The 15,254-nt window shown below is 51.0% G+C and overlaps 1 protein-coding gene across 26 annotated transcripts in view, besides 1 other annotated feature; it reads right to left on the reverse strand.

Moving 5' to 3' along the window:
- PTPRH (protein tyrosine phosphatase receptor type H) overlaps positions 1-15,254 on the reverse strand; it is a 28,255-nt gene that overhangs the window by 5,508 nt on the left and 7,493 nt on the right. For 14 of the 26 annotated variants that reach the window (NM_001161440.3, XM_047439149.1, NM_002842.5 and 11 more), the window contains 8 exons: positions 13,482-13,748; positions 11,889-12,158; positions 10,363-10,662; positions 9,768-10,034; positions 4,909-4,987; positions 4,747-4,794; positions 1,324-1,414; positions 759-849 (listed from right to left, as the gene is read on the reverse strand). In NM_001161440.3, coding sequence (NP_001154912.2) covers positions 759-849; positions 1,324-1,414; positions 4,747-4,794; positions 4,909-4,987; positions 9,768-10,034; positions 10,363-10,662; positions 11,889-12,158; positions 13,482-13,748 — 1,413 coding nt within the window. Of the gene's footprint in view, positions 1-758; positions 850-1,323; positions 1,415-1,825; positions 1,941-4,746; positions 4,795-4,908; positions 4,988-6,632; positions 7,545-9,767; positions 10,035-10,362; positions 10,663-11,888; positions 12,159-13,481; positions 13,749-15,254 lie in introns of those variants that run through there. The other 12 variants (XM_047439150.1, XM_047439148.1, XM_047439144.1 and 9 more) reach the window with 4 other exon arrangements.
- Positions 2,915-3,414: an enhancer, noted in NCBI's record as "H3K4me1 hESC enhancer chr19:55701037-55701536 (GRCh37/hg19 assembly coordinates)". NCBI's record gives its function as "activates a minimal SCP1, AML or CMV promoter by ChIP-STARR-seq in naive H9 embryonic stem cells {active_cell/tissue: H9 hESC(naive)}" and the evidence as "EXISTENCE:reporter gene assay evidence [ECO:0000049][PMID:30033119]".

The raw sequence follows: 15,254 nt of genomic DNA on the forward strand, positions 1-15,254 counted from the left end.
GGACCCACAGCCGGGTGCAGTGACTCACACCTGTAATCCCAGAACTTTGGGAGGCTGAGGTGGGTGGATCACCTGAGGTCAGGAATTTAAGACCAGCCTGGCCAACATGGTGAAACCCGGTCGCCATTAAAAATACAAAAATTAGCCAGGCATGGTGGCGGGCGCCTGTAGTCCCAGCTACTAGGGAGGCTGAGGCGGGAGGATTGCTTGAACCCGAGAGGTGGAGGTTGCAGTGAGCGGAGGTGGTGCCACTTCACTCCAGCCTGGGTGACAGCAAGACTCTGTCTCAAAGAAAAAAAAAAGGTGGGGGGCCGGGCGCAGTGGCTCACGCCCGTAATCCCAGCACTTTGGGAGGCCGAGGCGGGCAGATCACAAGGTCAGGAGATCGAGACCATCCTGGCTAACACGGTGAAACCCTGTCTCTACCAAAAATACAAAAAATTAGCCGGGCGAGGTGGCGGGCACCTGTAGTCCCAGCTACTCGGGAGGCTGAGGCAGGAGAATGGCGTGAACCCGGGAGGCGGAGCTTGCAGTGAGCCGAGATCGCGCCACTGCACTCCAGCCTGGGTGACAGAGCGAGACTCCGTCTCAAAAAAAAAAAAAAAAGAAAAAAAGAAAAAAAAAAAAGGAAGAAAAAAAAAAGGAGACCCACGGTAGGGGGCAGGACTTGTTTCTCAAAGCGGGTAGGAGAAGGGGACTGGGGTGGGGTGCCGACTAGATCAGGGCTGGGACAAAAGCAGCAGGAACCCGAGACTCACAGGGCAGCACATTTCTGTAGCGGTTCTTGGCGTTGTTCTCTGAAGCCGAAGCCACCATCTGAGACTGGCTGTGGCCCACCAGGGAGAGTTGCTGGGGATGCAGGGAGAGGGGGTACCTGGTGTTGGATTTTCTCTACTTTCCCTCGGGGGTACCCCCGAGCTCCCCTTGCCTTCTTCGGCATCACCCCTTGTTTATTCGTTGCACCCTGAGATTATATGGCACCCACAAAAACAGAATAGATGTGTGTGCCACCTGCCCTGTGGGGCACTGGGGAGGATTTAGGGAACCATGGGACTTCTTCAGGCAGGCAAGAAAGCAGGTGTCAGGGGAGAAAGGACTCACTGGGTGGGGGCAGAGAGAGTTACTTTAGGACTGACCCACCATTATTTTAAGATTTCAGTGAGTGGAAAGATAACATGGCTGGGAATCTCTGCACAATCCAATGACATATGTGATGCTACTTTTGCTTAATCCCGAAAGCCGTGAGGTCTGGCCAGGGGGTGGGGGGTGGGGGTCTGGGCCACCGGAGGGAGACTGAGCTCAGCCCCTCTGTCCTCTCCCCACCTGGTACTCGTCTGCAAAACCACAGTTGCTGTCCCTCTCATTCTTCCTGACGTGGTCAGCGAAGTCTTCAGCTGGGATGTCCCCTGGGGAGCTACGGGTTTTGGGGGAGCAGGGAGAAAAGACCGTAACTTCTTTTAATCTTGCACTTTTGAGGGCTGGGCATGGTGGCTCACGCCTGTAATCCCAGCACTTTGGGAGGCCGAGGCGGGTGGATCACCTGAGGTCAGGAGTTCGAGACCAGCCTGGCCAACATGGTGAAACCCCATCTCTACTAGAACTACAAAAATTAGCCGGGCGTGGTGTTGCACGCCTGTAGTCCCAACTACTCGGGAGGCTGAGGCAGAAGAATCTCTTGAACCCGTGAGGCAGAGGTTGTGGTGAACCGAGATCGCACCACTGCACTCCAGCCTGGGTGAAAGGGCGAGACTCCGTCTCAAAAAATAAGAAATAAAATAAAATAAAATAAAAAATAATAAACATACTCAGACAGCCCTACACTTACACTTCTCATGCAGACCAGTTTTTTTCTCCTTCCTGTCATCCTATCACCATGGCTTGGAGTCTATATCCACTACTCCAGGGAACACCTTTCTCCAAAATCGTCGTGGCCTCCCTGTCTGTAATTGCAAAGGCCACGTTTCAGCCCCCACCGGCCTGACTGCTCAGCAGCATTTAGCACCACTGCCTGTGCCTGCCTTTTCTCCTGGATCTGCACTGTTCCGGAACACCCAGCCCTGGCTTGGCCCCCACCTACCCAGCTGCTGCTTGTTCATTTCCTGGGCAGGCCCCTCCTCCTCTGTCCGTCTTAAAAGGTAACTGTTCCCCAGTGTCCAACCCCAAGCCACTTTTCTTGCTGGACGCACACTTCTTACAGGGTTTGGCCCATTCCTGTAGTTTCACTTTCTTTCTTTTTCTTTTCCTTTTCCGAGAAAGAGTCTCATCCTGTCGCCCAGGTTGGAGTGCAGTGGTGTGATCTCAGCTCACTGCAACCTCAGCCTCTGGAGCTCAAGTGATTCTCCTGCCTCTGCCTCCTGCGTAGCTGGGATTACAGGTGCCAGCCACCATGCCCGGCTAATTTTTGTATTTTTAGTAGAAACGGGGTTTTGCCATGTTGATCAGGCTGGTCTCGAACTCCTGACCTCAAGTGATCCTCCCGCCTCGGCCTCCCAAAGTGCTGGGATTACAGGCGTGAGCCACCACGCCTGGCCTCTTGTCTGGATTATTACAAATCTCTTCCACATGTTAGACTTCTTCCTAAACATGTTAGACTGTGTCACTAGCCTATTCAAAATCTCCCAAGAACTCTCAGCTCACAATAAATCCAAAGTCCTAACTTTCAACTACAGGCCTGTGCCTGCTGTGGCCCCACTGACGTCTCTCTGACCTCACTTCCCACTGCCCTCCCCTTCCTCACTCTGCTCAGTCGGAGACGCACGATGTTCTCTGAACCTCACGTGTGCTGTTGCCTCAGGCCCTCCACGCGCCCATCCCTGTCCTGGGAGCGCCTTTCCCAGATGCATGCTCGGCTCCTCTCCCACTTGCGTAGGCCTGTACTCAGATGACTTCCTCTTAGTCATCTTGTTAGCAAAGCTTTCCTTGAATATCCTGCCGAAAATATTCCTGCTGGGTGCAGCGGCTCACGCCTGTGATGCAAACACTTTGGGAGGCCGAGGTGGAAGGGCTGCTTGGGGCCAGAAGTTCAAGACCAGCCTGGGCAACCTGGTAAGACCACCCCCCCGACCTCCATCTCTACAAAAAATTAAAAAATTAGCCAGGCATTGTGGTGCGTGCCTGTGGTCCCAGCTACTGGGGAGGCTGAGATGGGAGGGTCACTTGAGCCCAGGAGGTCGAGGCTGCAGTGAGCTATGATTGCGCCACTGCACTCCAGCCTGGGCCACAGAGTGAGACCCTGTCTTGACAAATTAATAAATAAAATAAAATAAAATAAAATAATTCATCTGATTTTCTCTCTAATTTATTCTAATTTTCACATTAGAAGAATATCAAAATAGGCCAGGGGCTGTGGCTCACGCCGGTAATCCCAGCACTCTGGGAGGCCGAGGCAGGTGGATCACAAGGTCAGGAGTTCAAGACCAGCCTGGCCAACATAGTGAAACACTGTCTCTACTAAAAAATACAAAAATTAGCTGGGCGTGGTGGTGCATGCCTGTATTCCCAGCTACTCGGGAGGCTGAGGCAGTAGAATTGCTTGAACCCGGGAGGCGGAGGTTGCGGTGAGCCGAGATCATGCCACTGCACTTCAGCCTGGGTGACAGAGCAAGACTCCACCTCAAAAAAAAAAAAAAAGAATATCACAATATTCCTCTACCCTTCCTATCCCCTCCTTTTGCCTTGTCTCCAAGTTTATTTATATATTTTATATATTATAAATTTATATATTATATATTATATAATTTATATATTATATTATATATAATGTATATTTTATATTGTATAATATATATAATATATAATATATTATATATATAACATATAATATATTATATATTATAAATTTATATATTATATATTATATATATTATAAATTATATATATATATAATTTTTTTTTGAGACAGAGTCTCACTCTGTTGCCCAGGCTGGAGTGCAATGGTGCAATCTCAGCTCACTGCAACCTCTGCTCCCGGGTTCAAGTGATTCTCCTGCCCCAGCCACCTGCGTAGCTGGGATTACAGGCGTGAGCCACCATGCCTGGCCCTGTCTGAAAGTTTATATCATATTTTTTATGATCTTTTTTAATTTTTTATTACTATTATTTTTTTGAGACGGAGTCTCGATCTGTCACCCAGGCTGCAGTGCAGTGGCGTGATCTCAACTCACTGCAAGCTCTACCTCCCAGGTTCACGCCATTCTCCTGCCTCAGCCTCCCAAGTAGCTGGGACTATAGGTGCCCGCCACCAAGCCTGGCTAATTTTTTGTATTTTTTAGTGGAGACAGGGTTTCACCACGTTAGCCAGGATGGTCTTGATCTCCTGACCTTGTGGTCTGCCTGCCTCAGCTTCCCAAAGTGCTGGGATTACAGGCATGAGCCACCGCACCCAGCAATCTTGTTTATTGATATCTCCTGTACTAGAATATAAGCCCCTGGCGGGCAAGAATCTTGGTTTCATTTGCTGTTTGTTTGGCACCTGGAACAGTGCCTGATACATGCTGGTGCTCAGCTGATATCTGCTGAATGAATGAATGTCCGGGAGTTGAGACCAGAACTGAATTCGCTGGCCCAGGCTGCTTGGGGAGTGAGTCACGATGGAAGGGCCGTGGTCCCTGTCGCAGAGGCATGGGCCCCTTCTGAGACCTTTGTGGGTAAATGCATTGATCCACCCTCTGACCTAGCTGGCAGCCAGCAAACACCCCTTGATTTGACCAGATTCTTTCCAATGCACCCCCCAGACCTTCTGCTCACCTAAAGACCAGATCCCTGAGTTCTGGTTTCTGCTGCTTCTTCTTATTCCTGGGAAAAGGACGTTAGGATGAGAGGCTCAGGGGGTGAGGCTGCAACCAGCGGTCCTCCTCCTTCTTCTCCAGCCCCCACCCTCCAGGCGGTCAGCCCTGTGCTGAGTCTCACCTCCTCTTCAGGAAGAAAATCAGCAGGCCCACGAGGATGAGAAACAGGAGGATGCCCACAAAGGCTCCGGCAATGACCCCTGTGGGGAGGAGGCATCGGGAACCCTCAGAGCGCAGGTCTGAGCTGCTCATCTGTCTCCAACCCTGCCCAGCCTTTCCTCTTCCCCAGGAGCCTGGTCCAAAGACAGCTGACCCCCGAACATCACACGGTGTGAATTGCGTCGGTCCAGTTATACTTACGCGCTTACCCATGGATTTTCCTCCACCCCTGAGACAGCAAGACCAGCCCCTCTCCTACCTCCTCCTCCTCCTCCGCCTACTCAACGCGAAGACTACAAGGAGGAAGACCTTTATGATGATCTACTTAATAAATAGCGAGTACATTTTCTCTTCCTTAGGATATTCTTAGTAACATTTTTTTCTTTAGCTACTTGATTATAAGAATACAGCATATAGTACGGCCGGGCGCGGTGGCTTACGCCTGTAATCCCAGCACTTTGGGAGGCGGAGATGGGCACATCACGAGGTCAGGAGATCGAGACCATCCTGGTTAACACGGTGAAACCCCATCTCCACTAAAAATACAAAAAATTAGCAGGGCGTGGTGGTGGGCGCCTGTAGTCCCAGCTACTCGGGAGGCTGAGGCAGGAGAATGGCGTGAACCCGGGAGGTGGAGCTTGCAGTGAGCCCAGATCACACTACTGCACTCCAGCCTGGGTAACAGAGCAAGACTCTGTCTCAAAAACAAACAAACAAACAAAAAGAATACAGTATGTAGTACATATTACAGATGAAATGTATGTTGTTTATGTTATTGGTAAGGCTTCCAATCAAGAGTAGGCTATTAGTAGTTAAGTTTTGGGGGAGTCAAAAGTTATGTGCAGATTTTTTTTTCTTTTTCTTTTTCTGAGACAGAGTCTTGCTCTGTCACCCAGGCTGCAGTGCAGTGGTGCGACCTCGGCTCACTGCAACCTCTGCCTCCCGGGTTCACGCCATTCTCCTGCCTCAGCCTCCTGAGTAGCTGGGACTACCGGTGCCCGCCACCACTCCTGGCTAATTTTTTGTATTTTTAGTAGAGTTGGGGTTTCACCGTGTTAGCCAGGGTGGTCCTGATCTCCTGACCTCGTGATCCACCTGCCTCAGCCTCCCAAAGTGCTGGGATTATAGGCATGAGCCACCATGCCCGGCTGTTATATGCAGATTTTCTACTGTGTAGGGGACAATTGTTCAAGGGTCAACTATCCATCATTTTCACAGGTGACCTGGTTGCTGAAGAGTGACTCCTGGCCAGGCATGGTGGCTCACCCCTGTAATCCCAACACTTTGGGAGGCTGAGGTGGGTGGATCACTTGAGCCCAGGAGTTTGAGACCAGCCTGGGCAACATAACAAAACCCAGTCTCTACTAAAAAAACAAAAGTTAGCTGGGTATGGTGGTGCACACCTGTCATCCCAACTACTCAGGAGGCTGAGCATAAGAGTCACTTGAACCCGGGAGGTGGAGGCTGCAGTGAGCTGAGATTGCACGACTGCACTCCAGACTGGGTGATAGAGTGAGACTCTGTCTCAAAAAAAAAAAAAAGAAAAAGAAAGCAAAACAAAACAAAAAGAACCCCAACAAAATAGCTGGGCATGGTAGTACATGCCTGTAGTCCCAGCTACTCAGGGGACTGAGGCAGGAGGATCACTTGAGCCTGGGAGGTGGAGGCTGTGGTGGGCATGATCGTATCACTGCACTCCAGCCTGGGCAACAGAGTGAGACCCTGTCTCAAAAAAGAACAAAACGAAACAAAACAAAAAAGTGATTCTTGCCTTCCTTAGCTTAGACTAGTGGTTCTCAACAAGGGTGATTTTGCTCCCAAAGAGACACCGGGCAATGTCTGGAGACGCTTTTGGTTGTCACAGCTTGGAAGTGGGAGTGCTGCTGGCACATAGTGGGTGGGAAGCAGAGGTGCAGCTCAATATCCTACAATGCGCAGGACGGCCCCCCCACAACAAAGAAGGATCTAGCCGGAAACGTCTGTAGTGCCGAGGCGGGGGAAACACTTTGCTGGTTGTGAAATCATCCCTGGCATGGACGGCTTCTGTTCTCCCCAGATTGAGGCTTCATCTTCTCAGAGGTCCTGCTGGCTGGGGAAGGACTCCCCGGCAGCGGAGCCTACCCAGATCTGGTGGTGTCTTTTTTTTTTTTCTTGGTTTGTTTTTTGAGACGGAGTTTTGCTCTTCTTGCCCAGGCCGGAGTGCAATGGTGCAATCCCGGCTCACCGCAACCTCCGCCTCCTGGGTTCTAGTGATTCTCTTGCCTCAGCCTCCTGAGTAGTTGGGATGACAGACACGCGCCACCACGCCCAGCTAATTTTTTGTATTTTTAGTAGAGACAGGGTTTCTCCATGTTCGTCAGGCTGGTCTCGAACTCCCAACCACAGGTGATCCTCCCGCCTCGGCCTCCCAAAGTGCTGGGATTACAGGCGTGAGCCACCGCGCCTGGCTGATCTGGTGGTGTCTATGGGTGCTCTCAGGCTCTGATGGCACAGTTCTCCCAAGATCTGTCATTAGATGTCTCGTCTTAGGGTAGGCTCAAGCCTATGGCCCATCTTCATCAGCCTTGAAGGCCCCCAAGCTGCAGCTTCTCAGCAATCCTGGGAAGAGTGTGTTTGTTGACAGGGAACTGAAGGGTCTTACAACCTGTACGGGAGACTTGGCCTCACAGAATGGACTTGGCCTCACAGAATTGGACTAGAGGACCTGTTCTCTCAGGGATCCTTGTTACTAAGGGAGAGAACTTTCTAAGCAATGGGGTCTGGCAAAGCCCAGTTCAAACAGCATCCACTGGTCACCACATCAACCCTCAGTCTCTCTCCAGATTGGAGACCCAATCTCATAAGAAACCCTATTCCTAGGAAGTGATTGATGGGGCAAAGTGAAGCTTATGGCCATGGTCTTGGTACATGGCCAGGTCTTTCCAAAGCTTAAGCTCCAAAGTTTTTCAGGTACCCCATTGATTACTGCAAGATGATACAACCACATTAGGAAAAATAAAACCCGGGGTGGGGGGTAGTTAAATGTATAGTTCCCATGTGATCCCTCAGTTCCACTACTGGGTATAGACCCAAGAGAAATAAAAACATACGTCCACACAAAACCTATCCACAAACGTTCCTAGCGGCATTACCCATAATGGTCAAAAGTGGAACTACTCAACTGACCCATCAACTGGATCAATGAATGGATAAAAATGAATGGGTAGGCCAGGTGCGGTGGCTCACACCTGTAATCCCAACACTTTGGGAGGAGGAGCCAGGAGGATTACTTCAGGTCAGGAGTTCGAGACCAGTCTGTCCAACATGGCAAAACCCCATCTCTACTAAAAAAATTTAAAAATTAGCTGGGCATGGTGGCTCATGCCTGTAATCCCTGCACTTCAGGAGGCCGAGGCGGGTGGATCACCGGAGGTCAGGAGTTTGAGACCAGCCTGGCCAACATAGCAAAACCCCATCTCTATTAAAAGTATAAAAGTTAGCTGGGCGTGGTAGGAGGCGCCTATAATCCCAGCTACTCAGGAGGCTGAGGCAGGAGAATCGCTTGAACCCGGGAGGTGGAGGTTGCAGTGAGCCGAGATTGCACCACTGCACTCCAGCCTGGGCGACAAGAGTGAAACTCCGCCTCAAAAAATAAAAAATAAAAAATAAAAAGTTAGCCAAGCATGGTGGCACATGCCTGTGATCCCAGATACTTGGGTGGCTGAGGCACAAGAATTGCTTGAACCCTGGTAGCAGAGGTTGCAGTGAGCAGAGATCATGCCACTGCACTCCAGCCTGGGTGACAGAGTGAGTCTCAAAACAAAAACAAAAACAAAAAAACAAATTATGCTCAGTGAAAGTGGCCAGTCACAAAGAAACACATAATGTATGATTGCATTTTTTTTGTTTTTGAAACAGGGTCTCGTTCCTTCACCCAGGCTGGAGTGCAGTGGCCCCGATCATAGTTCACTGCAGTCTCAACCTCCTGGGCTCAAGTGATCCTTCTGACTCAGCCTCCTGAGTAGCTAGGACTACAGACACACACCACCACAGCTGGCTAATTTTTTAAAATGTAGAGATGGGGTCTCACTCTGTTGCCCAGACTGGTCTCGAACTCCTGAGCTCAAGTGATCCTTCCACCTCAGCCTCCCAAAGTGCTGGGATTCCAGGCATGAGCCACTGTGCCCACTCTATGATTGCATTTTAATGAAACGTCCCAGAGAGGCAAATCTATAGAGATTGAAAGTGGATGAGAGATTTCCGAGGGCTGGGGGCTGGGGAATGGGAGAACTAGGGGGTGGTGGCTCAGCGGGGTGAGCTTTCTGTTGGGGGTAATGAAAATGTTCTAAAATTGATAGTGATGATGGTTGCACAATGTTGTGAATATAAGAAGAGTCACTGAATTGTAACTTTAAGTGGTGAGTTGTGGATGGCGCGGTGGCCCACACCTGTAATCCCAGCACTTTGGGAGCCTGAGGCAGGCAGATCACCTGAGGTCAGGAGTTCGAGACCAGCCTGGCCGACATGGTGAAACTCCATCTCTACTAAAAATCCAAAAATTAGCCGGGCGTGGTGGCACGTGCCTGTAGTCCCAGCTACTCAGGAGGCTGAGGCAGGAGAATCACTTGAACCCGGGAGGCAGAGGTTGCAATGAGCCAAGATCGTGCCACTGCACTCCAGCCTGGACAAGAAGAGCAAAACTCCATCTCAAAATACAAAATAAAAAAGATGTTTCAAAGGAAATGAGAAACAAAAGAGTCCCACTGATTTCCTCACAATGGGGCCTGATGGGGTCTACCGAGAATTTCATCATAGCTGGCTGGCCCGCGCGGCTCCGCTCACCTGCACTCTCGGTGTGGCAGACCACAGAGTGAGACACGACCTTCATTCCGTCCCAGATGGTCGTGATGGTGGCTGGGTAGGACCGAGCCGGCCCGAGACCCAACACAGACACAGCCTCCCCACATGAAGATCTGTCCTGGGAGCCCCGCTGTCCTCCCACCTCCAACTCAAAGGCCTCGTAGCCTCCCTGGGGGCAGGACCAGATCAAGTTGACTCCATAGCCCGCTGAGGTGCTGACACAGGAAGTGATGGTGACTGTGTCTGGGTCTGGGTGAAGGAAGCAAGAGGTCAGCAGTGCCATCCAAGGTGGCTTTCCACCCCCTCCACCCCTACCCCCAGTTTTCTGAGACGAGCCCATCCCTTCCTCGCCAAATCCAAACTACCTCATCTTCCCTCCTTTTCTGTCCTCCCCGAATGGACACAAATAAGTCCTTTTAAACTACAACTCCCATGAGGCCTTGGGCTCCTCCATCACTGCAGCTCATGAAGTCATGGCCTGTGGCCTGATGGAATTTGTATTCCATTCATCTCTCAGCTCGCAAGGACTGTGAGCTAAGCCCAGTTCACCACTTGAAGGCAGGAAGGGGATTCTCACATGTGGACGCACAGAGGCTCTGCGTGGAACTGGCTACGTCATTCCTCTCTGCCCACACGGTGAAATTGTACAACGTCCCGGGTTCCAGGGCCTCCACTTTGTACCACGTCTCATTGGTCCTGCTGGTCTGGTTGACCCAATTCGCTTGGGGATCTTGCCCCCTCCGGGGATGTCCCTTGCTGGCCCACTGGACCCAGTATACGTACAACTGAGAGTGGGGGTCTCCAGGGGCCTTCCACCACAGCATGACTGAGTTCTTAGTCTGAGTTTCATTCTGGAGATCTGTGACCTCATTGGGAGCTGAGAAGTGAGAACAGAGGCCTAAGGGGGTATCCTCGAAGACCCTCCTACCCCAGCCTGTCTGCCTCTCCCCCACAGCAAAGCTGAGATATCCATTATTGATGGCTCCAGTGGCTAAGGAGGCTGAACCACAGGAAAGAGTCTAGATACCCAAAGACCATGGGGACCAGAATCTCCTAGCCCTCTCCGTCCCCTGGCTACAGCCCTGGGTCCCACCCTGTCATCTTTCTGTTCTTCCCAAATGCACACCAATTCCACCTACTGAAACTACAGTTCCCATGAGGCTATGGATTCTCTGTATCGCTTCAGCTTATGAAGTCATGGCCCCATGGTGTGATGGGATTTGTAGTCCTCCACCTCTCATGGCCCTCGAGATCTGATCTCTGTATTTTCTTTCCCACAGGAACCCCAGGTAGGGTGTCTTCTCACTCTAGACACACCACGTTTGTAGAGGGAGCTGATAAATTTCATCTTTTTAGCCCAAATGACCAAGGATTAAAGAGTTCCAGGTTCAGGCCAGGCATAGTGGCTCACTCCTGTAATCTCAGTGCTTTGGGAGGCCGAGGCGGGAGGATCACTTGAGCCCAAGAATTCGACACCAGCTTGGGCAACATAAGGAGACCCTCTCTCTACAAAAAATATTTTTTTAAATGAGCTGGGCATGGTGGCGCATGTTTGTGGTCCCAGCTACTCAGGAGGCTGAGGTGGGAGAATCAGTTGAGCCCAGGAGGTCGAGGCTGCAGTAACCATGATCACACTACTGCACTCCAGCCTGGGCAACAGAGCAAGACCCTGTCACACACACAAAAAAGAATGAACCTAGTCTCCAGAGTGATTTTGATTTTTCTCATGAGTGGGACCCACCGTGCCTAGGCTGAGAGGTGGGGCCCTCTCGCTTCATCTAATTCCCTGGGACCAGCTGTTGGCTATTGTCCAGCTGGTGACTTTGTCAGCTCCTGAGAGGTGGTGCTGGACAATTGAGGGCTCCCCCTGACCCCAAAGAGTCCATTTCCCAAAGGGAGAAAAAACAGGTCCCACAGCTTGGAAAGCCCTGTCTGCTAAGAAACGACACCCACTAGGAACGGGACCTACAGGTTTAAGCTCCGGCCGGTGAGGCTGGAGAGGCCCATGGGTACTCTTCATCTCCCAAGGAGCTCCCAAAGTCCTTTCATCTTTTTCCTTCCCCCATCCTAATAGGGCTGGGTTCAGAACCGACTGTGTCTCACCAGTGGCTGCAGTGAGGGTGCTGTTATAGCCTCTGACCTCATTCCTCTCGGCCCAGACGGTGAGGTGGTACAGGCTGCCAGCTTCCAGTTCCTTTAGGGTGATGTCAGTACCTGAGGTGCTTTGGGTCCTGGGGTCAGTCATGCCTTCCCTGACCCATGAGACCCAGTAGCTGTAGGAAGACTGGCCTGGGCCCTGGGGAGCTGTCCAGCGCAAAGCAATGGTGCTGTTGGTCCAGTCCTGCTTGCTGAGGCTTGTCACTGCGTTGGGGACTGGGAGAGGGAGCAGAGTCAGGATTTCCACATCCCCTAGTCCTCAAGAGTCCAGAACACAGTGATACGCCCTGTCCTTGTGCAGCCCAGCTCATCCAGAAACACTTCCTGGCAGGGCACAGTGGCTCAGGCCTGTAATCCCAGCATTTTGGGAAGCTAAACCGGGAGGGTTGCCTGAGCCTGGGAATTTGATACCAGCCTGAGCAAAATAGTGAGACCCTATCGCTACTAAAAATTAAAACAAATTAGCTGGGCATAGTAGCACATGCCTGTAGTCCCAGCTACTAGGGAGGCTGAGGTGGGAGGATCGCTTGAGCTTGGGAGGTTCAGTCTGCAGTGAGCTATGATTGTGCCTCTGCACTCCAGCCTGGGAGACAGAGCAGGACCGTCTCAAAAGAAAGAAAGAGAGAGAGAGGCCGGGCGCAGTGGCTCACGCCTGTAATCCCAACACTTCGGGAGGCCAAGGTGGGTGACTTGAGGCCAGGAGTTCAAGGCAAGCTTGGGCAACATGGCAAAACCCTGTCTCTACTAAAAATACACAGATTAGCTGGGTGTGGTGGTGCGTGCCTGTTGTCACAGCTACTTGGAAGGCAGAGGCAGGAGAATTGCTTGAGCCCAGGAGGCAGAGGCTGCAGTGAGCTGAGATTGTGCTATTGCACTCCAGCCTGAGTGACAAAGGAAAACTCTGTCTCAAGAAAGAAGAAAGAAAAGAAGGAAAGAAAGAAAAGAAAGAAGGAAGGAAGGAAAAGAAAGAAAGAGAAAAGAGAAAGAAAGAGAGAAAGGAAGGGAGGGAGGAGGGGAGGGAGAAAGGAAGGAAGGAGGGAAGGAAAGAGAAGGAAAGAAAGAGAAAGAGAAAGAAAGAAAGAGAGAGAGACAGAAAAAAAGAAAGAAAGAAGGAAAGAAAGAGAAAGAGAGAAAGGAAGGAACAAGGAGGGAAGGGAGGAAGGAAGGCTTTAAAGGAAGGAAAGAGAAGGAAAGAAAGAGAGAAAGGAAGGAAAGAAAGAAAGGAAAGAGAGAAAGCGAGAAAGGAAGGAAGAAAGGAAGGAAAGGGAAGGAAGGAAGGGGAAGGGAAGGAGAAAGAAAGAAAGAAAAGGCCTGTGTCCCCACAGCCCCACACTCAGCGGGAGAAGTCTGGATGGGCTCTCTTCTTCCTCAGGGCAGAGCCAGCCCCCAGCTGTGATTACATCTGTCCTGTGGACTTGGAGAGGCAGATGTCTGCAGAGCCTACGGACTACAGAGCCAGAGCCCAGAAGAGGTGCCACGCCGCTCCTGCTGGTTCTTAACCTCTCACCAAAACAGGGAGTGGCCGTTGAGGGTTCCTACCTGTGGAGATGCTGACATTCTGCCTGGAGCCACGTGCTCCATTTTTTTCTGCCCATACAGAGAATGTGTACAAGGTTCCGGGCTCAAGTCTCTCAGCTGTCACACTGGTATTTGTTGTGTTTCGGGTCTCTGTGCCACCACCGTCTCCAGTGTACTCTACCCAGTAGGTGTAGTCCTGAGGGTATGGGCCATCGGGGACTTCCCAGCATAGGGCGATGGAGCTGTTGGTCTGAGTCTCCATATGGAGGTTTCTCACTGGGTTGGGGGCTGAGAAAGTAGGAAGAAGATCCTATGTTGTCGGAGATACAGAACAGAACGGGGCAGGAGTGGGCCCCTCACTGCCCTCAACCATCTTAGCTCTTGTTCAACTGCTGGTGCCAGCAGATGCAGGGTGTATGTTCTAGACCGTGTTTCTCAGACTAATGTGCCGGGCGTGGTGGCTCACGCCTGTAATCCCAGCACTTCGGGAGGCTGAGGCAAGGGGATCACCTGAGGTCAGGAGATTGAGACCATCCTGGCTAACACGGTGAAACCTGTCTCTACTAAAAATACAAAAAATTAGCCGGGCGTGGTGGCTGGTGCCTGTAGTCCCAGCTACTCGGGAGGCTGAGGCAGGAGAATGGCGTGAACCCGGGAGGCGGAGCTTGCAGTGAGCCGAGATCGCGCCACTGCACTCCAGCCTGGGCGACACAGCGAGACTCCGTCTCAAAACAAACAAAAAAAACAAACAAAAAAAACAAAATAAAAATCTCCAATGGAATAGCATTAAGAGGTAGGGCCCTTGCAAGATTAGGTCATAAAGGTGAAGCCTTTATGCCTGGGGTTACTGCCTAAGAGAGGCCCAATGGCCCAGCACAGTTTCACATTTCATGTGAGATTACATGCCTGTAATCTCAGCAATTTGTGGGGCTGAGGTAGGGAGATTGCTTGAGGCCAGGAGTTAGAGACCAGCCTGGACCACACAGCAAGACCTCATCTCTAAAAAAAATAAATTAGTCAGGCATGGTGGCCCACGCCTGTAGTCCCTGCTACTTGGGAGGCTGAGGTCGGCGGATTGCTTCAGCCCAGGAATTTGAGGCTGCAGCGAGCTACGATCCTGCCACTGCACTCCAGCCTGGATGACAAAGCGAGACTCCAGCTCTAAAAAAAAGAAAAAAATAAGAGAGACTCAAGGGAGCTTTGTGTGGTGATGAAGACAGTCTCTCACTTTCCAATATGGTAGGCATTAGCACCGTGGAGGATGAAGGGGGGACTGGGAGCCCCTCAACAGGCCTTTTGAGCACATGAAATGTGAAACTGAATTTGCAGTTTCATGCAACTTTAATGAGTTTAAATTTAATAGCCACGTGTGGCTAGTGGCTACCATATTGGACAATGGAGGTGTAGACACAGGGAGCTGTCCACATCAGGGTCATGGAGCTGATGATCTGAGTTTCCATCCTCAATATGTGACACAGTTGGGAACTAGAAGAAGAGTCAGAGGGTCAGAGTGTCCCCACTCACAGTATCTAATTCCTTGAAAGCTCAGGTAACATGCCTTGGCCCCTACACATTCCTCTTGGTGCAGGAAGGTGCCCCTTGGCATTATGGTCCACATTCTAGAGAGTCCTAGACACAGACTGGCCCCAACTTAGCAGCTGGAGGTACCATGGACATTCATTCCTTCTTCATCTCCTGAGCTGAGACTGCCCCAGGATGTGGACATGAGTACCTGGCTCAATATGGCCCAGAGGGACTATGGAATAGACAATCGTCTACATTCTACTGCTTACT

This window comes from Homo sapiens, chromosome 19, assembly GCF_000001405.40.
Source record: "Homo sapiens chromosome 19, GRCh38.p14 Primary Assembly".
Lineage (NCBI taxonomy): Eukaryota > Metazoa > Chordata > Mammalia > Primates > Hominidae > Homo > Homo sapiens.